We start from the raw sequence: 23,720 nt of genomic DNA on the forward strand, positions 1-23,720 counted from the left end.
TTTTTATATTTCTCTTTTGTTTTATGTGTTATCTCTCTGCATATAACCTTTTTAAAAAGTGGTTGCCTTTCCATCAGCTTCACAGAATATGGTTTTTCTATTTTATTTCTTCTTGCTGATAAAAAGAAACTCTCAATAATATTTATTTCATAAACCACATATACCAATATTCTTATTATTTGAGAGTCACACTTCAGCTGAATTAGGGTAGCTGTGTAATTCATCAGCATAAATGCAGATGATTATGGTATGAACCTTTTAGGGAAAATGAAATGTGGTAGATATTCAAAAGGTTCAATTTAAAAATGTACTACCTCATATTCATGTATGATAATAATGATAAACATATAAGATACACAAATATAATGCCATTGGTGATCATGATTAACCTTATCTAGTAGGCATCTTTTACTTTTGCAAAATCATTAAATAGTTGAAATATATATGTATATATTTGAGCCTCTGAGGCTTGAAAAACTGCATATAAAAATATAACATTGTTTAACATCACTAGAATTCTATAAACGTAAATAGAGTTCAAGCTCTTGACATATATTTTTCTATTTTCATATTTCATTATAGGAAGCATATTCCTTAATTCAGAGGATTGAAGCTGAACAAAATGCCCTATATTCCTATCAGAAATATTTGGAAAGTTCAAAAAGAAAGAAAAGCAGAGTCCCCCCTCCACCTATCCTGCTGTCTCGAACTCATTGTTCTGTGACACTCAAACCTGCTCCATTTACTTCAGAGGTTAAGGTATGGTGTCCAGTAAAATTTTTGCCTCATGCAAAGCAACATAAGTACTTTTATAACTACCATGATTCATACTTTGATTGCTTTTAGGAACTGGATAGTCTTATTCATAAGCACTGAACACTGGATTAATATTCCAATGTCTTATCTATACTTAGTTTCTCCATGACTTGTTGCCCCTTATGCTGTTATATTTATGATATGCTCTGTATTGCATTGCTATACCCAAATATATTGTTAGGAGAAACAGTAGAGAAGCACCTCCTTGTAAGTATCCTTGTCACCATGACACACCATATGCTGACATCCTCGTGTGCTCAAGATGGAAGTCTCACTTGAAGTGGAATCAGACATTTGAAGAGGGTAGAAGTTACTTCAGAGCCAGTGATGGTATGAGGCAGCAGAGTGTGTAAAATTTAGGGGTGATGAGTCTAGAGGTTCTGCCCAAAGTCCTTCCAAGTAACTGTAGATTCTTTCAACACAAGCAAAGGACAATTCCAACCATATTATAAACCATACATCTTTGTGTATTTATTGGAAGGTGAGCTTTTTCTCCCATCCCTGATGCCTCAGAACTTGGCCTATATGTGACTAAAACTTGAGATTCAGTTTCTTCACAAGAATTTGGTTCTACCTAATTTATATTTTACAAACTACACTTTCCTCTTTGGGATGATCAACAACATGCTCTTTGATGTTACATAAAAATAAAGTTTTATCTTTGTATCTTTGATTCTCTTTAGGATGTTCTGCTTGAAGTTATGTCAACTTGGTATAGTAGAGAGAACATAGGCTTTGGAGTCAGACAGATTTAGGTTTATAATTCTAGCTCCAACCTTTCCTGGAAGTCTGACCTTAAGAAAGCTAAATACATTTCCTGAGTTTTTTTTTTCATTTGGAAAGTGTGTTTATTGTGAAAATTAAATGAGATAATATATAATATTCTTGGCATATTAGCTGATATCTTTCCACTTCTTGTATTAAATGTTAAGTAGTAAAGCTTACTCAAAACAAGTAATGGGCTAAGCGCGATGGCTCAAGCCTGTAATCCCAGTACTTTGGGAGGCTGAGGCAGGCAGATTACCTGAGGTCAGGGGTTCGAGACCATCCTGGCCAACATGGTAAAACCCTGTCTTTACTAAAAATATAAAAAATTAGCTGGGCGTTGTGGCAGGTACCTGTAATCCCAGCTACTCAGGAGGCTGAGGCAGGAGAATCGCTTGAACCTGGGAGGTGGAGGTTGCAGTGAGCCGAGATCACGCCATGACATTCCAGCCTGGGAGACAGAGCGAAATACTATCTAAAAAAACAAAAAATAATGAAATGATAGACTGTGATTACATTATTTGGTAATATTTTTTGTGGATTCTGTCCAATGAGCATTTATTGAGTGCCTGTAATCTGTCAAGCTCTGTGCGAGGTAATTGAGGTATAAAGATAAATATGGATTAAATGTGCTTGCATACTTTGAGCAGCTTCAGGAATGGCAAATGGACATCAGTGAGAACTGATGACAACCTTCATAGTGCTTTATAATTGTGAGAGGAGGGGAATAGAAGTGACATTCATCTTATACCTAACTGTGCTATGACAGATGCATTACTGCTGTTGATACTGGTTTTAAAGTTAAACTTTGGATTTTTGGAATCTGTTTAAGAATAGAGCTTCACTGATTTTGGAAAATTAGTGCAGAACTAAGACCACGTGCTTTACTAAGAGTTTTTGTTTGCTTTTGTTCAAATATTTGGGTTTCTTTAACCAAAATCTTATTCTGTATGTACTTTAATTTAATGATTAGTTTATTTCATTTCATAATTCTTGGAAATAGGAAGATATAAGAGTCTCATATTTGGCCTATAGTTTTAGGACTCATCAATGAGGACGTTATAGGAAGTTTATGTGTATTACGTTCATTTAGAGAGTTCCAGGAAATTATCACCATCTGTTACCTTCTCATCAGCACTAGATGGTGCTATGGGCTTAAATAAGTTTTCTGGGTTGAGGCTTCAGCCATCTTTTGTTTTCTCAAAATCTCTTGTTGAGGCATTCATTTCATTAAAATCTACTTTTGTAGTTGAAAATGCTAATGTTATTTATATTACGTATAAACTGTTCTAAAGTTAGTACTGATTTGTTCATGATGTCTCTACCCTTATGTAGATTCTAATTACACATTGTTTCTTAGAGTTACATAAACTGATATGTCTTCATCTGTGGAACAAAATAAAAATATAAAGCCTGCTTGTAAAAATGCTTTTAGAGAGAATTTTACCCTCCAAATTCTGGTTTATATAATAGAACTTGGAGCAATAGTGATATAAATCATAGAACATAGTCTTTCTGCCTTTTTTCTTCTTTGAAAAATAGTATCTTTTTGCATGGGAAATCAAAGGAAGTTAGTTTTGCATTTTTTTTTTCTGAGATTCATCTGATTTTTTTTTTCTACCCTATTCTCCAGCTTCAGGTTCCTTCTGTGTTCTCTTTGTCCTGTTCTGCCTTTGACTAGTGCTTTTTAATCAGTTGTGCATATCACAGTCACCTGAGAAATGTTCTTTGGAAAGACAAAGATGCGGAAACTTGCATCAGAAATTCTAATTCATTGAAGCTAGACAGGCTTGGGTATCTGTAATTTACAAAAATGGTTCATTCTGTACAAATTTGTATTTTAAAGAAGTAATTCTGGAGCACAGTCAGTGTTGAGAACCACTTGTGTCAATTGGACATAGTTAGTATTTTTCTGTTGACCTGAAGGAAGGAGTAGCAGGCACAAGCTGTAAGACGTAGTTGTATTTAGAGACAATTGTATTTTTTTTAGAGGCAATTGTATTTTTCCTTCTTTCTAGCTTGCCTTGTAGTTTAGGAGTTGCCTCTGGGAAGAAGGTAATGACACAGTCATGACCCCTATAACCCTCAGCAGTATGGCTTGTTCATAATACTACCCCGTCAGGTGTCACCTAGCTCCCTTTTTCTCTGTAGGGAGAATAGTTCATTCCAATAATGAATCTTCATTATCTTGACACCTCGGCGAAAGGATCATTGTCTAACTATTTAATCAAGGTTAAATTTTGTTGTTTCTGTGGGATTTATATTTTATGTTTGATTTATGTCTAATGTTTTTATTTAAAATATAAAATTAAACTAAATATAAAAATTATCAAAGTAATATCATGTTTCAGAAAATGTATAAATTGGAGAAAAAAATTGGCCCATTATTTACCTATCATCTTACCATTTTATCATCCAAATCCTACTGCTGTTCTTATTTAGGGGTGTTTTCTTCTAGGCTTTTTCATATGTATTTTTATATTTTATTTAAAATAATATATTTTAGTATCTTGCTTCTCTTTCCACTTGCTTTTTTTGTCATACATTATCATGTAAAATATGAAAATCACTTGAGTGTTAATCTTTTTTTTTACATCAAGACAAAGTCATTTTAGGAGTCAACCCTGCCACTATCTGTCTGATCTTAGGCAAAGTTATTTAACATCTCTGCATCTCCATTTCCTGTGAAGCAAAATGACAATAGTAATCCCATCTCATAGAGTTGTGCATATTAGAAAATATCTGTAAATTTCCTAACAGTACTTAGCAGTAGGAACTGTTCAATTAATGGTGGTTAAAATAATTAATAATGAATAATATCTTAGTCTTAATTGCCTCAGTAAACTAGCTAAGGTTACTTTTACTCTTTAAAGATTAAACCTAAGTATATTTGTAAACTTGGATTTCATGTTTTAAAACCTGAATCATTACATTTTTATTTAGAAAAGTATTTTTTTTGTTACATTGATATAAAAGAATGCCTTTTAAACAGGCTCATTTTTCTCGTCGGCAGGTCTCCTGGTACTGCATTTTGGGTTGCAAAGCAGAAGGAAGTTATGGAAAAGTACGGCTAAACAATAATCATCTCCCAAATTCAGGAGAAGCGGTACGTCAAATTAAACATCAGGAAATCTTACTGAAGCCTTTAATGATAATTAAATTTTTAAATGAAGTCATTGTTTTGGTGAATCTCTCTAATTTCCACCTGAATCATAACTAAAATCCAACAATGAAAGAAAAAGGTTTTTTTTTAATAGAAGGTTTACTTAATTGTATTTTAAAAGTCATGTTATTTTAATTTTTCATGTATAACTTGAAATATATTTTTCTTAATAGATACCAGCTGACGGTAAAAGTGTTTTTGAAGTGAAAGGTTTAGAAACCAATGAAAAGTATGTATTTGCAGTTGCTGCCTATTCTAACAACGGAAAGCTTGTCGGTGGTGCTATTGGGGAGACAACTAAACCAATTCTGGTTTATCCCCCTCTTTCTACTATTACTGCTCGGATGTTCCTGACACAGGTAGAAAAGATTTCTGCTAATTTTTTCCACTGTGTTTTTTTTTCCATTAAGCAGTTATGAAGTAATTTCTGATGGAAATAAAAATCACAGCAGATATTCTAAAGCTCCTATAACACATATTATCCATTACTACAGTTTTGTCTCATAAAATATGAATCATTCCTTCTCTTATTAGTAAATTTGCTTTTTGACAATAACATTTTTTCCCCTGGATTACAAATGTAACACATATATATTAATTTTAGAAATGCTGGAAAACACTGAAATGCATAAAGAAGAAAATAAATGTTATCTGTTATCCTATCATCCAGAGTAGCAGAGTTCTTACCCTGGGGCAATTTTGTCAATGTCTAGAGAAATTTTCAGTTGTCACAAACTAGAGGGGTGCTACTGGCATCTAGTGAGTAGAGGCCAGGGAGGCTGATAAACATCCTACAATGTACCGGATAGCCCGCATAGCAAAGAATTATCCAGCATAAAATGTCAGTGGTGTCAAGATTGAGAAACCCTAATCCAGAGATATCCTTTTATTTTTGTGTATCTATCTGCCTATTTATCTATCTAATTAATATATATATATATATACATGCACACACACGTGTATATGAATTTATGTACAATATATAATTTAAATCATAGTATACATATTATTTTACATCCTGATATTTTCACTTAACATATAATTGACATTGCTGTATTCCATTAAGTATTCTTCCAAAACATAATTTTTAATGGTTCCATGGCATTGAATCTTATGGATATATAATAGTTTGTTAGTAATTCTCCATTGCTAAACATCTAGATACTTTCCAGTCTTTTGCTATTATAAACAAAGCTATGATGCCCAACTTTGTATATAAATCTTTACCTACATCCATGATTACTTTCTTAGGGTAAATTTATAAAAGTAAAACTTCTGGATCAGTAGAGGCAGAGAGACCTGAGTTCAAATTCCAGCTTCTCACACTATCACAGCCATGTGATAGTGGACAAGTAATTTTCATCTGTGAAGCAAGAGTAGCAGTAGTAGCTACTTCCCAGAGGTATTATGAGTATTAAATGGAATTATGCCTGTCAAATATTATCACACAGTAGGCATTGAATAAATAGTATTGTTTTTAGTTAGGGATATACTCATGAATTAATGTTTTTTGTCGAAATAGTTGTTGCCTGACTTAAAACATGTCATCAGTGAAGAGGATGCTAGGAAGAGTGACTCATTGACATAGGTCTCAAGTATCTAATTTTAAGCCTATTCTTGACTGTAGAGCTGATGGCTTTTCTAAATTTTGTCATATTTCTATTCTATTTTCTCTTAATAGTTGATTAGTAATATAAGATAAGATCTTAGTGGCATTTTATATAGCATATTTTTCAAAGAAAATTAAATTGAGAGAATTACTAGGATTTGTCTAGTATTGGTTTAGCGTGTCATACTGGCTCATGGTTTTCTGATGTTTTGGTATCTTTGGAATCTAATATATTCCCTAATTTGCAGTGATGGAGTTATTGTGAGGAACTGAATATTTCATCAAGGCCTAATTTTTCTCCAGGGAGTGGTTTGACTCTTGGGCTTAATTTGGTAGAACTTTCATTGAAAGTTAATAAAACTAAGTCAGAGCTATACTGCTGGGATAATGAGTAGTGTCATGAAGTAATGACCTGTGTTTCTTTACTGACACTATATTTGCAGTTCTGTAGTTTATTTATGATGGTTTATGTGCATTCTGTCTCATAATGTTAAGAGGCTAAAGCAAAGCTTTCTCACTTATTAAACCTCCTTAATTTATAACTTAAGTTTAAGCTTTTAAGTTTCAGCAAGTTAATGTACCTCTATTTTGTAAGTGCAATCTAATTTTCATGAGAGTGGTTAGTTTCTAGTTTCAGGACAGTTCTTTTCTTTAAAACATATTATTATAAATATTTGATAGTAAAGCATGGAGACGTTTCACTAAATGCCTGTGATTAACTTGGCTTTTGGGACTTTAGGTTGTACTTTTTACTCAGCATTATTCTGTAAATATTAATAAAATCAAGTGAATCTCTACTAGGCTTTCCCTAAATGTAGAAGGCTATTAGTTTAGTGTATCTGGAAATTTTTTTTTGAGGAAACTTTTTGAATTATCTATTTTCTGTGGCTATTTTCTCTTCTTTTTAGACTATTTCTTTTTATTCCTCCTCGTTAAGTAGAAAATGACTAGATAATATCATATAAATGTAGAAGAGTAGAAATCTGTGAGCAGGATTCTGATCTTGACCTTGGAGACTGATTTTAGGCAAATTGGTCTCAATTTTCCTATCTGTAAAATGGATGTAAGACAAAATGCCATATTTGAGTGAATTGTTGAACTACCAAATCAAGTAGTGAGTGGGCACAATGGCTTACTGAGATAAGAAAAGGAGGAATATCGTTTATTTAAGAACTACTGTGTACCAGGCATTTAAAATTTATTATTCCACTTATTATAATAACTCCATGAGGTAGTATGATTACTTTTCTTTTATAGTTGAAGGAACAGATTAATTTAATCCTTCCTCTGCCAAACCCACTGTATCCCTAAAAGGGTGTCTCAGGGAGGTTAAGAAATGTACCCAAGGTTGCTCAGGTAGCAGATGTCAAGCCTGACACTTGGACCAGCTCATGCCTTTGGACTGCTCTGTCCAGGTTCCAGGAAGTCATGTATTGGACACCTAACATGTGCCAAGTCTCCTAGAGCCTGCATCTCTCCAATCTATTAAGTGACCCTCTGCTCCTTAGAGAGCTCCTCTTCTCTTTAACCCTCTTCCTTCCCTTTCACTGTCTTTACCTCTTCCTCTATCAATTTTCTTTTTATTCTCTCCCTGTGTTGGTGTTAATCAGCAGGTCTTCATGATCTGTATTGGCAGTAGAGTTTGATGTTGGAACATGAATGCTTTGTCAGCAATCACGATGGTGGCAGGTGAAGGGGAAATGAAGTTCACACGACTCCCACTTTGTATGTGAATTCATTAAAACCCATTATTAATCAAAACTCCTTTTATTAATAATGGTTTGTCTTTTGTCTATTTTATTTTTCATTCAAATAAAAAAAAAATAGGCCCAGTGTAGTGGCTCACGCCTGTAATCCCAGCACTTTGGCAGGCTGAGGGAGGCAGATTGCTTGAGGTCAGGAGTTCAAGACCAGCCTGGGCAACATGGCGAAACCCTGTCTCTATTAAAAATACAAAAATTAGCCAGATGTGGTGGCACGCACCTGTAATCCCAGCTACTTAGGAGGCTGAGGTGGGAGGATTGCTTGGGCCCAGGAGGTGGAGGTTGCAGTGAGCCAAGATTATGCCACTGCATTTCAGCCTGAGTGACAGAGCGAGACCCTGTCTTAAAAACAACAACAATAACAACAAAAAGAGTTTTAACTCTTCTTTTCCCTCTCATCCTCTAACTGAAGATTACCACTCTTTCCACTCATCTATTATTTATGGATGAATCATTTAGTCAATGTTTATCTTGTGCCAAGTTATATGCTAGATGTCATCACTTCATCCTTTGAAATATGTTTTTTTTTTTTATCAATCTCATTACAATGACAGTAATACTTGTTTAGATAATTCTGACTTATAGTTTCAGTTAAAACCCTGATTGCAAGTCATGGAACCAGCTCAGCTTGGGGTAATGCAGCTAGGCCCTGGGAATGCAGCAGAGTCCAAGCAGCTCTAGGTCTCATACTTCTGGTTCACCCTGTGCGTCTGCTTTCTTGTATTTTTCTCTAAACATTAGCTTTCATTACTTCTCCATCTTTGGAGGAAAGGTGGCAGTTCCTGAGTTTTTATATATCCCTCAATTTAAGCTATAAATGGAGATCAGCTGACTAGCCTCTAACTGTGGCTCCAAATTCCTGGGAAAGAGAATGTGATTGGCCCACCCAGTATAATAAAGAGTCTGATCTCTCTCTCTCTCTTTTTTTTTTTTTCTTGAAATGATCTTACTCTGTTGCCCAGGCTGGAATGCCGCTGATCTCATTTTCGATGTTTGACAACTGACTTGTGACTTGTTTTTATTTTTTTGACTTCTTTTTATTATTTATTTATTTTTCTTTGAGTTGGAGTCTCACTCTGTTGCCCAGGCTGGAGTGCAGTGGTGCGATCTCAGCTTACTGCAACCTCCACCTCCCGTGTTCAAGCCATTCTCCTGCCTCAGCCTCCTGTGTAGCTGGGATTACAGGCGTGTGCCACCATACCTGGCTAATTTTTGTATTTTTAGAAGAGATAGGATTTCATCATGTTGTTTGAAAACGTTAGGGCTTTTACTCTAGCTGTTCCTTCTGCAAATGCTCTTCCCCCAGAGAGCCATTCCCTCATCTCCTTCAAGTCTCTGCTTAAATCTCACCTTCCTTGATCACCCTATTTAATATTGTAATCTACCTTCCATTCCCCCACTTCACAGACCTAAGACTGGTCACGAACTCCTGACCTCAGGTGATCTGCCCACATTGGCCTCCCAAGGTGCTGGGATTACAGGCATGAGCCACAGCGCCTGGCTGCAACTTGTTTTTAAACCTCACCCTTCTTTTTGCCTTTGGCCCCACATCTGGGCAGGATGATAAGAAGGCCTATGAGCTCTCCTTTTTATTTTGTGGCAGCAGGAAATTTAAACCTTACAGCCAGCATGGACTTTCCCCAGTCCTATCTCTCAACTCCTATGAAGGCCCAACCTGCTTTCTCCCTCTGCTTTGCCCAAGCCAGCCCAGACAGTCATGTGCCTGCCAAGCTTTCCCAAGAAGTCCCTTGTGTAAGCAATATACTTTCTCTCAAATTTTCCTGCTGTATGGAGTGTCATCAGTCTTAACATCAGAACCACACTTTGGATGGGGGCCCATCTTGCTTTGCAGGGGAGTCTCTAACAACCTTGTTATAGTCTAGTACAACTGCTGGGTGTCCTTCTCTGTGGGTAGAGGGATATTATCAGGAAAAGAGGATTTTTAAATTCACTCAACACATTATTTGAGTGCTTACTCTGTGCCAGGCATTGCCCCAGGTTAGTGACTCTAAAACTTGAGTGCACATAGGAATGACTTGGAGTACTGGTTAAGCAGATTGCTGGATGCCACTGCCAGAGTTTATGATTCACTAGGCCTGAGTTTGGGTCTGGGAATTTGCATTTCTAACAAGTTCCTGGGTGATGCTGAGGCCCAGGGACCATACTTTGAGAACTGCTGTTCTAAGCAACGTGAACAGAATGCCATGGTAGGAGATAGGTAATAAACAATGACCACAGTAAACAAGTAAATTATCTAGTATTTCAGAAGATAATGAATGCTATGGAAAAACCAAGTGGAGTATGTAAAACGAATTGGAAATGTGAAGTAGGGGAATGGAAGGTAGATTACAATATTAAATAGGGTGATCAAGGAAGGCGAGATTTAAGTAGAGACTTGAAGGAGATGAGGGAATGGCTCTCTGGGGGAAGAGCATTTACAGAAGGAACAGCTAGAGCAAAAGCCCTAAGGTTTTCAGAAGTGTACCTGGTATGCTTGGTAAACAGCAGGAAGCTTGTGTGACTGGAGCAGAGGGACCCATGGAGAGTAAAAGGGACAGGTCAAAGAGCTAAGGTGTGAGTGGGTAGATGGGGAGCAGATCATGAAAAGACTTCCAGGGCATTACAGGGACTTTGGCTTTTGACTTGAGTGAAGTGGACAGCGATTGGACAGTTTGGAGTAGTGGTATGATGTAACGTGACTCCTGTTTTTAAAGGTTCACCCTGGCTGCTACATTGGAAATAGAACGTAAGGGGGTAGAGTGGCAGCACCATCCACTGCTGTAACCCAGTGAGAGGTGAAGGTGGCTTGGCCAGTGTGCTGGTAGCTGATGTGGTGAGAAGTAGTCAGTGTTTGGACATGTTTTGAAGGAGGAGCTAACAAGAGTCCATAAAGAGAAAAATAAAAGATGACCCTAAGGTATTAGCTGACCAATTGAAAGGACAGAGTTGACATCAACTGAGTTGTGGAAGGCTGTGGGTGGTGGAGGTTCGGGGGAGTGGGAGATCAGTTCAGTTCCAGGCATGTTGAGGTAAGGTGTTTAGTATATATGGAGAGAATTGTTGAGTAGTCAGTTAGATGTATGAATCTGGAGTTTGGGGAAGGGGTCTGGGCAGGAGAGGGATTTGAGAGTGATAAAACTATAGGACTAGGTGGTATCAATAAGAAATGAGGGTAGACAGAAAAGAGGAGCAGTTCACAGAGTGAACCCTGGGGCATACCAATATAAAGAGGTTGAGGAAAAGAAGTAAAAGGAAAACCAAGAGTGGAATTCTGGAAGCCAAGCGAAGGTCAGGCATCAAAGAGGAGGTATCTACTGTACTTAATTATTTCATTAGTCTTTTAGTGCTTCTTTCTCATTTTCATTCAGCCCCTCTAAAATCTGTTCTGCACATCACTACCAGGACCAGGTTAACCATTTTTGAACATGCTTATATCATGGCACTCCTCTGTTAAAGAAACCTCACAAAACCTCATGATTTTATAAACCTTAATTTTAATCACGGTATCTTTTCCTGTTTTGCAATGTTAACTGATGGAACAAAGAACATTATTTTAAAAGGGATACATTTTACAAGAAAAGAACAGTTAATTATAGTTTCACCAACCCTCTTACACATCATCTATTGCTTACACACATTATTGCTTTCCATGATAAACCTTAATAATTATATATTTTAATTATATGTATTTATATTTCAGTGACCACTTAGTACAGTTGAGTCATTTGATTAATGTAGCCCAGAAAAGTGACTCATTAACCACTCGAAGACTTGGCTTCACTATTTTTACTGACTGTCAGACTCTGTACAAATTATTCTACTTTTCAATGTTCTGGTTTCCTCATTCACAAATAGGGATGGCAACAGAGCTCACTTCGTAGAACTTTGATGAAGAATAAATACAGCAATGCACATAAAGTGCTTAGTCCAGTACTTGACACCTTTAAATTCTTCCATCTGATTTTCAAGGCCTTCTGAAATCATGTCTCACTTGAACTTGTCCAATCTTATTACCCACTTGTTTCTTTTCATTTTTTTTTCATCTCAGACCTTGCAGGGATGAAATGTCTACTTTTTTTCTTTTTTCAAACTCTGACCTGCCTCTCCAGTCTCTCTTAAATGTATTTTAGAGTCATTTCCATTACTGGACCTTTTGGAGATTCTGTTTTAACTGTGCTGATCTGAATCTTATCTCTGCCTTAGGGTTCAACTCAAGCCCTGCCTTTTCCTTGAAATCTTCATGTCTCCTTTTCTAAAGCCTCTGCAATTATTATGTTATTCTTTGTAGTTTTTCTGTGATGTTATGGGTTTTATGCCTTTAACCTAATTCCAGTTTCATAGAGTTTGATACCATCTCTATCTAAACTTTGAAGAGTCTATCTCTACAGTGCCTAACACAGACTAGAAACTTCATAAAAGCTTACTGGTTGGAGATCATGAGTATTCATTGGCAGATTCGAGAGTTCTGGCCCTCTAAGTTATTCCCTGGAGTGGAGAATATTCTAGTAACTTGTCATTCACTTACTTCATTCCATGAATGCATTTATACTTCATACCTTAGCTGTTTCCATAAAGGATTTGAAGCAGTGTAGAACTCATTTGGTGAGATTTTATATTGTTATTTACATATTTAATGGAGTGCTTTTTAGGAACGTCTTTAAAGAAATATATTCTACCATAAAAAATAGGTAAGTCAGTTTTTTTCTTTTGAACTTCTAGGCTTCACCAGTGAAATTATTTATTTTGCCTAATGTTAAATTTGTTAAACTTAAAACATATAATGTCTTCTTGGAAAGCTTCTCTGTTTTATTCTATACTCTTTTCAGCTCGTGAACTTTTTGTTGCACAGAAGCTCTGAAAGTATCAGTCAGAACCAGAAAAGAATGAAGTATTTTTCACATATTGGGTTTGGGAAATCTGATTGTTTCTCTTGGAACAGATTGTTCATTATAACAGTATCTATAATAAATGGAGTGCACTGCTGAGATAGATGGAAATGAAATTAATTTGGCTCAGATGTGATCTTTGTTTTGCTTATAAGGATTTGAAACATCCTTACAGAGTTTCAAATTTCCATGCAATTTAGAAATAAAAGAGATTTCAAAAATGTATCTGTCTCCCTTGCCATTGGCCGTTACCTGACCATGGCACTATAGAACAGAACAGCAAATGTGAATGATTGTATCTGAAATGAGCGTGTGATAGCACCTTATAAAATGCTGTCATAGATTGTATATTTTAAGAATTATTGTTTAAAACATTCATTCACGAATAAAACTATTACATAAATATGTGCTTTTTGTTATAGGTTGCCTATCAAGTTGGTAACTATGAATTGGCTAAGAAAGTTTTCTCACCAGTTTGGGATTATTTTGTTGCTTCGCCACTTCAGGATGAACAATCTGTTATTTGTTTAAGCAATATAATTACTATTACACAAAGAAGGTAATTAGAAATATTCTTCTAAAATATTAATTTGCTTATTGAAAATATAGATGCTGGATGCGAAGCCTGGAATTATTTTTAATATCATGTTCAGATAGTCCATATACAATCATCATTTCTAATAACTATTGTAATAAGAGTATGCATTGCAAGGTCTCATGTGCTTGTTAGAAACTTTCTTTCTTTCTTTCTTTCTTTTTTTTAATACTCACTCACTCTGTCACCCAGGCTGGAGTGCAGTGGCATGATCCTGGCTCACTGCAACCTCTGCCTCCTGGGCTGAGGTGATTCTCATGCCTCAGCCTCCCGAGTAGCTGGGATTACAGGTGTGCACCACCACGCCCTGCTAATTTTTGTATTTTTAGTAGAGATGGGGTTTTGCCATGCTGGCCAGACTGGTCTCGAACTCCTGGCCTCAAGTGATCTGCCCACCTCAGCCTTCCAAAGTGCCGAGATTACAGGCATAAGCCACCATGCCCGGCCAAGAAACTTTCTTTCTAGAGTCAGCAAAAACACTAGAGGCATAAGGTTGAAGGTTATGAAATAAAAATACCAACTACAAACCAAAGTAATATCAGTTATATCGTAAAACACAAATATTCATTGGGAACTTTTATACCAGGGAAAGGTCAAATTGGGGTTAAGGTTATGGTCTGACAGGTTGACTGTTAGGGTAAGAAGGCTTTTCTTTTGCTAGAAGGGGCTCCCAGGATTACACCATTGGCAACTGCAAATAGGCCAGTAGAAGCCATATAAAATTACTATCCTTCGTCTTTACTGCCATTTTCCTTAAAAGAACAAAGTTTTGAAGCAGGCTCAGAAATGAGCATTACTGTAATTTCAGGCGGTCTCAACAAATTCAAAAGCAACAAGAATCTCCCTCACCTGGTTGTTAATGCCTGAAAGTTTTAAAATAAGGAGACAACCCTTCATTCCTCAATCAAAAATAATGAGCTTAAATATGCAAATATTGCTTCAGGCAAGGCGTTGATAATTCCATTCAAATAAACAAATGCAGACTTAGCATTTTCTATGTACAAGGATGCTATGTGCTATGGGGGTATGGGTTTCAGAGGCATTTTAGAGGAGGAAGAGACAGGACTTAGATATTATGCGACTTGTGGGGATAAGAGAGAAAGGAGTGAAAAGTGACTGGGATTTCTGGTGTTAACTGACTGAGAAGTCTGTGACATTTACTAAGGGGATATGAGAGGTAGAACAAGTTCTTAGAGGAAGATGATTAATTTCATTGAGAATATTTTGAGTTTGGTTTTCCAGCAGGACGCCTTTGTGAATATGAGATGCCAGTAGGTTTATTTATCTAGTGCTGACACTCAGGAGAGCATCAAGGCTAGAGATACAGATTTAGAAATTGTCCATTGAGTTCATCATCAAGATCTTGAAAATGAATGGTATCTCCCAGGAAACGACTGTTTAACAGAAAAGACAGAAGGCCGGAATTGAACCCTAGGCATTGCTTAACATTTAGGAAGCAGAATTAGGAGATGGAACCAAGGAAGGATATTGAAAAGAAGCTGTCCAGAAAATGAAAGTCCAAGAAAGTGCATTGCTAGGGAAAGTGAAAGTATCACCAAAGAGGGACTGGCCAGAGATATTAAATATCAGTGCCAGGTCAGGCAGAGCAGCTGCTCAATAAAATGCCACAGAGAGGGTTGAGTAGAACACAAATGAAGAAGAGTTGGCAATTAGCAGGCCATTGGTGAATTCAAGAGAGCCACTTTTGTAGCATGATAGGCCGGAAATCATTTTGCAATTCGCTAAGGAAAAAAAAGAAAATGAAAAATCCTAACAAGCAAAGACCACTCATGTGAAGTTTGGTGGTAAAGAGGAGGAGAGCAGGCAGAAGCTTAGTGGGGAGGCAGGCTGAAGGAAAGAATTGTGGAGTGTGGAGAAAAGGCAGCCAGTAGAGAGAGAGAGACTGAAGAAGAAAATGTAGGCGATGATAACACTATGGTGGTCGAGCCTGGAGGACATAAGAGCTTATGGGGTGGAAAGAACAAAGGATTTAGAAATATTTTTTTTTGGCCGGGCGCGGTGGCTCACGCCTGTAATCCCAGCACTTTGGGAGGCCGAGACGGGCGGATCACGAGGTCAGGAGATCGAGACCATCCTGGCTAACACGGTGAAACCCCGTCTCTACTAAAAATACAAAAAAAATTAGCCGGGCATGGTGGCGCGTGCCTGTAGTCCCAGCTACACGGGAGGCTGAGGCAGGAGAATGGCGTGAACCCGGGAGGCGGAGCTTGCAGTGAGTCGAGATCGCGCCACTGCACTCCAGCCTGGGCGACAGAGCGAAACTCCGTCTCAAAAAAAAAAAAAAGAAATATTTTTTTTTTTTTGTGGGGAATGTGAACAAGGAGACATCAGGGATAAATGGAATTGTTATTGAGATGCAGTAATGACTCAGTTGATGTAATCGAACATGAATTTGTACTGAAGCCCAGCTCCTAGTGGCTAAAGATTCCATTTGATTCATCTTTATACCTAAGGGTCTAGAACAGTGTCTTGTACATAGTAGGCATTCATCAATTGTTAGTTAGCGTGAATGAAAGAAAGAATGAGTGAGCAAAATCAGTAAGTGATCGTTGTCACAGAGATAGAAAAATTGGACAGTGACATCTAGATTCTGAAAATCTATAGTGATTTTGTTATCTTGATAAAAAATAACTTTATGTATTAGAACCCCCAAAATTGCCACTAATTAATTTTGTGTATCTGTGACATAATATTTCAGTAGTTTAATTTTCTTAGTTGTGAGCTTGTCTGTGCAAGAATAGCTGTTCTAAATACTTTTGTTGCTTTTTTGGGATCTTTGTGTAGATACTGAGAACAAATCAATGTAAAAAGACCAGTTGACCTGCTAAATCAATTTATATTTATACCTGCCATTTACTTCATATTGCAGATTACATTCAGATATTTTGGCAGAGACTTCTTCAATCCTCTTGTACCTTTTTCTTAGAAATATTTTTGTAACAAGTGACATCAAAATTAAAGAAGAAAATCTTTTCTGTGATAATATTAAAGGCAATGAGATTTTCCCATCTCAACAAGTAAGTGAATTAAAGTGACTAAAAACATGTCAGATTCACTGTATTTTTTTCTTGATGTTTTAAGATCATGTTTTTTGAGTGATTGCATAGCTTGTCTGGTGAATGGACTGAAAGGACATTGTATGATTATGCGACTTTATGTGATATTTCATATAAGTTTCACAGGCCTGAGTTCATGTTTTTTTCTCTTCTTTTCAATTTATCTCTTTTCCCCCTGTGTGTAAAAGTATTATATATTTCAGACATTTGAAAATATATAATGTATAAAGTGAAACCCGTTGTAATCTTATTACCTCTAAGAATACAACAATTTTGCTTTCATATAATTTCTCTAATTTAAGAACATATGCCTAGACAAATCTGTTATTATTATTTATGAAAATGGGATTATGATCTACTTGCTATTCTGCAACTTGCCTTTTTAACACTTTTATAATCTATCTTGCACATATTTTCATGCTGTTATATATCAATCTGTCACATTTGTTTCAATTATAATATTGTCTTCATGGAGGCAGGAATGTAACCTATCTCCTATTGATAGATTCTCAGTGTGGTTATGAACATTGCTGTATGTACATCTGCAACTCTATAATGCTCTTGTATTTAGTAATGATCCTACATTATTTTTTTTTCATTCCTGCTTGAAGTTCACTTTTCTTTCTCTCTTTCCTTCTTTAGGTATGGATGTTTTAGCTGTCTATGTTTTTTACAGTTGCTATTTCCTACCCATCCATTAACTAATTAATTAATTAACCAAGACCTTGTTACATGGGACTATGCCAGTTTCTGGGGATATAAAAGTGGAAAAAATGATTCTTTGCCCCAGACAAGTTCACTGTCCTGTAGAGCCCAAGTACTCACAACCATCTCAACCTGTTCCTACTAAATTGCCTTCAGTTTCTTCTTTCAGCGTATTCAATCTGAAAACAAAGACAATTTTCAAGTACTTCAGTGAATTCCAGAATGCTAGACTACCATTTTAGTAAAAACTGACTACATGGAAATTTCTGGTTACCACTCAGACAGTTTCTTTATACATAATCTTGAATATATATATATAGAAAAATAATGAAATCTTTCCCCAGGAAAGGAAAAAGAGGAGTAAGAAAGGCTAACTATTCTTTTTAAGTGGCATTTACTCTCAAAACCTTAACTTTACATTTTACTATCATTTAAATTTAAGTAGCAGAAGTATAATTAGCAGAAGCATAATAGGAGGTTAGCTTGGTTTACTGAAAATTTACCGTTTTCTTTCAAATCAAAAAAGGAAATGAGAACCTGTTAATCAAATGGGGGCAATATTATAGAGATGTTATATATTTTAATTGTTAATATAATTTATATTTTTGAAAACTAGATTTTTTAAACATAAAAATATAGCCAAGTTTTTAGCTTATTGATAAAAAAACTGGTTTCTGTTATGGCACTTGTATTGTTTTATAAAAAATTTTGAAGTTTAATTCTAAGATCGTGCTATCTATAGGTAGCATTATTGGAGAGTTAGAGTTGTTTCTGAATTTAGATTTTTTAAAATACAAACACTCATGTTGTTTTTAGCCAGAAGGATCACATTTTCTACCCATTCTCCGTAGAGACACATACGCTAAGCACCTATGTTCAATCTGAGTAACAATGCCTGTTTCTTTACAGATTGCCAGACTGATTGAATGTGAGAGAGTATTAGTGGCATTGGAACTTAGCAACTTCCTAAATGATTCCAGCTATGCCCTTCAAGCTGTGACTCAATGTTATGGACTTCTTGCTCCCATAATTTATCACAATATTGTTTTGGTACCTGTTGTACAGGTAAGGGTATTCCTCTCCCCAAGAGAAGGGAATCTTTATAAAGGCAACTTAACAATTCATTTTAGAAAAGAAAAGCCATGTATCTCTTATAAAGGGCAAATAGGTCAGGAATCAGTATTATGAAATTTTAGGAGTTAACTGAAAAACACTTTAATAAATTATATGTCTGGGCACATATAGATAAGGACATAAAATAGGTTTCTCTGAAAATATTCGTCCCTGTTCCTGTCCATATTTAAATATTGGCAATTTACCTTTCTAGAGTTTTAAAGTTATTTTAATTTTTATGTTCTTGTAGTGTCAGAAACAACATTTATTCAAGGCATATTGTTAAATCCATCATCTGGAGAAAAACATGGTGGGAGACCCAAGACAAAATACCTGGTGTCTTGGTGATGGAGGAGTTAGGATTTACAGAAAAAGGGTAGCTGAGACCTGGCTGAAGGGATTATATAGTTTTTCATGTTTCTTAACATATCACCATGGATTTAGTGGCTTGAAAGGACACTCATTTACATTCTCATAGTTTCTGTGGGTTAAGAGGTTGAATATGGGTTAGCTGGGTCTTCTGTTTAGGGTCTTATGAGGTTGAAATCAAAGTCTTGGCCAGGGCTGTGATTTCCTCTGAGGCTTGAGGTCCTTTTCTGAGTTCACTGTTATTGATAGAATTCATTTCCTTGAGGTTTTACATAGGAGGTCCTTAGCTCCTAAAGGCCAACTACTAATTCCTTGCCACATGGCCCTTCCACATCATGGCCCTTTGCCTTTTCAAGGCTGTTGGAGAGTCTCCTCCAGTATGCTGTGAGGAGCCTTATCTAGGGTAATGAAATCATGAGACTGATGAGCTTATCACATTCAGGAGCCCCACCCACACTCAAGGGGAAGGAATCATACAGGGCATGTACACCAGGGGGAAGAATCTTGGGGACCATCTTAGAATTCTGCTTACCACAGGAAAGTAATGAGAGATGTAAGATTTTGCTGCTGAGACTTGCAGAAAGTTATCGCCGTCATTGTCACTGTCATTGTCAGCATCATGATCATCACTGACACATTTTTTGTCATCCTAGAAGATGTGAGTGAACTCACACAAAGTCCAAACATTTTTAGTACATGATCAAGAAGACTAACTAGACAGCTTGAGTAACTTAAAAAAGATTCACCTTGGAGGGGCTCTACGGAGCATAGGTGTGTCTCCTCCTACATTCCCTACAGCTGCTGGAGATCTGCCTCCAGAGTCTAAAATCTAGACTCATAGTTGACAGCCTTCTGGGTCAGTTGTAAATAGATAGAGCATTTCTCTCAAGTGTGGAGTATGGTTCATCCAAAACCCAAAGGTGCCGACCTGGTATGGTCTTTCTTTTTAAAGGTGAGAGATGCCAGATATCAGACCTACTTTGGAGGGGGTATCCCAGCCTCCCCCAGATATTTAATGTGGCAGCCCTCTGAACCTTCATTGAGTCTATTTTTACCCATTGGAAGGTGTTTATCAAGGTCTTCAATGTACTTCACATTTCTTGATCATTAAGTCTGAGTAACATGATGTCATTGATATAGTGGCCCAATGTTTTGTTTTGAGGAATGTCCAGAAAGTTCATATCCTTTCACATAAAATTATGTCAGAAGTTATAAGAATATTCATTGTCTTGGGACAAGACTTGAAATGCATACTTTCATCTGTCCAGTGTTAATGAGAACTCGGATAGAAAAGAAAACATTAGCTATATCAATGCATACCTTTTAATATGTGTTAGCTTAGCAAAGATACCACATTGGGAACAGCAGCTGCTCAATTGGCTGAGTTTACGGTAGTCCACTGTTACTTTCTAGAATCCCACTGATTCAGGATACCTTTGGCTAGAGAATGGATTATAGCTATGGGAAGTCTTAGGAAAGAAGTCTCTAATTGAATTGTATTGTTTGGAATTGGAAAAGATCAGTAGAACAGAGGGTAGTTTCCAGAAATAGGCCTCAATATATATGAGAATGTAATATATGACAGAGTTGTCATTCCCATTCAGTGGAAAGAGAATGGACATTTTTACTAAATGATGGTAAAATGTCTAGATATTCATCTGAGAGAAAATAGAGTTTGACCCCTATTTGTACCATGTACAAAAAGTCCAGATTTATCAAAGACTTAAGTGTAAAATAAAGCAAAAACTTTAGGAAAAATTTCCCAGGAGATGACGTGTGCAGTCCGGGGTTTGGGGGGAAACATTTCTAACCAAGACTGAACTTCTAACAGCAACAAAGAACCTATGTGTAACAAAAAGGACTATAACAAAGATAGAAGAACATTTACAGATTTGGAAAAAAAATATCTCCAAATGCGACAGAGGGCAAGTATATATACATGTATAACAAAAAGTCTTACAAACTGACAATAACCTAATAGAAAAATAGGCACAGGATATGAATAAGCAGTTCACAGGAGAGCAAATCCAAGTGAGTGAGAAACATATGAAAAGATGCTCAAATTCTAAATACTCATAGAAATTCACATTAAATTAACAATGTAATATCACTGGCAGGATTGAAAAGATTTGCTGGTGAAGATGTGGGGCAATTGCATTCTCATTCATACATGGGGGAAATGTGAATTGTTACAAGCATTTGAATTTTGGTAAAGTAATTTTAATTTAAATTAAATTAAATCTAATTTTAAGCAAGATTAAAAACAAATATACCTGACACGGTAGTCCCTCTGCTAGTAATTTATCCTGTAGAATAAAATTTTAATAAAATTAAAAATACATTTATCTGACACAACAATTCTTCTGTTAGTAATTTATCTTATAGAATAAAACCTCCATTTGAAATAATGTCACTCCTAGTTCCACCTCTTGGTTCCTGGACCTGAGGAACCTACTGGGACACAGTGTTATGTACTGTCATTGGTTTAGAATGTATACTGTGTTCTGGAGGATGGTATCTCATCTTCACTGGGTATCATCTCAAAGCCGGCATCTTGATTGCTAATCATAGTTGGCAACTGAGCATGTAAAAGGGTATTTACTGTGACATTCTTGGTGTTGGCAAAAAAGCTGGTGACAAAGAGAAGTAACAGTACCCCCAGATTGTACAACCATGAAAATGTGTACCATGAAGTCCTAGAAAAGGCTGAGTAAATAATGGCTGATCCACACCAAATAATATTATGCAGCCATTAGAAACAAACAATGAATTAGAGCTATACCTGTAGACTTACAGCATTTCTCACCAGACATGGTTGTCCAAAAACCATGTCTGGTGAGAAATGTTCACAACCAAAGATATGGTTGAAGGAAAAAATACACACTTCAGAAAAGTATTTATAAATCCCATTTTGTAAAACAACAACCCTCCTAGGTACATTATGTTTTTATACACATGTATGTATTTATATTTATATGAGCTTCGGGAAAACTCCAAAACTACTAGGGTGTTCACATGATTTAGGGATATGATATGGTAGCATGGGAGAGGCTGATTAGGGTGGGGAGGAATTTAAAAAGTCTTAGAGATGAGTGTACTGTAACAATAGTAACAGTATTGTTAGAATGAGAGCTTGAAGCAATTAATGTGCCCCCAAAGAACCAACATTCATATATTAATTTGTCCTTTGGGTTAATCTAAATGGTGAATGATTGATGCAATCTCACACTACCTTTGAAAAGCTATTCGTCTAGCTCTTGATCAAATTTAAGATCATATAATACGAAGCAAGGAGAATAGGAAGTAAGTACCAATATTAGTTGATTTCCTGAGATATGAATGTTTGGTTTTAATTTTAAAGGAAACTATTATTTCAAGTACCTGGAATCACTATGTAATATTTAATATGCCATATAAGCTTCCATTTGGTTTTTCAAGTTCCTTCTATACCTGGATGTGATAGTTTTTCAAATACATGTCACATTCTGACTATACCTTTTATGATACTTATCAAAATATGCTTTGTTTTATAGTCATTTGTGTTTTATTTTATTCTTTCCACTGATTTTCAAGTTGCTGTAGGTGAAGGACTAATCTCAAAATTGAATGTATCAACTTTATCTCAGTGTACTCTCCTTTATTCCTAATAAACAATTTATCAATAATTATTGATAACAAAATTTTATGTCTTAAAGCTTGCATTATTTGAATGGAACATTTTCTAATGAAATGAGTAAGGATGACATTTTAAAACAAAAATCATTGTGATTCTAATTTTTAGATCCTGATAAAGTGTATAGTGGTTTTGCAAGGACTACCAAGTATTGTCTGCTCGAAGAAACATACTGCGAGCTTTGAAAGTATACAACACATGATAGCTTGTTGTATTTTCTACATAACAAAGGTATTTATCTCATTCTTTATCTAGTATTATAATATTTAGGAGCGATGATGATTTGGAAAGTCTACTTTTAATCACAATAAGAACACTTTTAAAAATGGCACCCTAAAAGCATTTTTAGATCAAAAGCAAATGTAGAGGCCAAACATTATAGAATAGCAATCTGTTGTTGAACTTTTTGATGAAACTGTGGTGCTTCACAAACTAAAACTTGATGTTATTGAAATAGCATTAGTATATCTATCTATATATTTATTATTATACTTTAAGTTCTAGGCTACATGTGCACAACGTGCAGGTTTGTTACATAGGTATACATATGCCATGTTGGTTTGCTGCACCCATCAACTCATCATTTACATTAGGTATTTCTCCTAATACTATCCCTCCCCCAGCCCCCCACCCCCCAATAAGCCCTGATGTGTGATGTTCCCCTTCCTGTGTCAATGTGTTCTCATTGTTCAGCTCCCACTTATGAGTGAGACCATATGGTGTTTGGTTTTCTGTCCTTGTGATATTTTGCTGAGAATGATGGTTTCCAGCTTCATCCATGTCCCTGCAAAGGACATGAACTCATCCTTTTTTATGGCTGCATAGTATTCCATGGTGTATATGTGCCACATGTTCTTTATCCAGTCTATTATTGATGGACATTTGGGTTGGTTCCAAGTGTTTGCTATCGTGAATAGTGCCACAATAAACATACATGTGCATGTGTCTTTATAGCAGAATGATTTCGAATCCTTTGGATATATACCCAATAATGGGATCACTGGGTCAAATGGTATTTCTAGTTCTAGATCCTTGAGGAATTGCCACACTGTCTTCCACAATGGTTGAACTAATTTACACTCCCATCAACAGTGTAAAAACGTTGTATTTCTCCACACCTTCTCCAGGATCTGCTGTTTCCTGACTTTTTAATGATCGCCATTCTAACTGGTGTGAGATGGTATCT

General features: G+C 36.1%; 1 protein-coding gene across 2 annotated transcripts in view; it reads left to right on the top strand.

Annotated features, from left to right (window-relative positions):
• The window catches only part of CFAP54 (cilia and flagella associated protein 54), a 385,979-nt gene that overhangs the window by 86,426 nt on the left and 275,833 nt on the right, over positions 1–23,720 (top strand). For both annotated transcript variants that reach the window (NM_001367885.1, NM_001306084.2), the window contains exons 20-26: positions 583–759; positions 4,595–4,687; positions 4,918–5,103; positions 13,425–13,561; positions 16,488–16,635; positions 18,289–18,444; positions 22,643–22,765. In NM_001367885.1, the coding sequence (NP_001354814.1) occupies positions 583–759; positions 4,595–4,687; positions 4,918–5,103; positions 13,425–13,561; positions 16,488–16,635; positions 18,289–18,444; positions 22,643–22,765 (1,020 nt within the window). The remainder of the gene's footprint in view (positions 1–582; positions 760–4,594; positions 4,688–4,917; positions 5,104–13,424; positions 13,562–16,487; positions 16,636–18,288; positions 18,445–22,642; positions 22,766–23,720) is intronic.

This window comes from Homo sapiens, chromosome 12 (genome assembly GCF_000001405.40).
Source record: "Homo sapiens chromosome 12, GRCh38.p14 Primary Assembly".
NCBI lineage: Eukaryota > Metazoa > Chordata > Mammalia > Primates > Hominidae > Homo > Homo sapiens.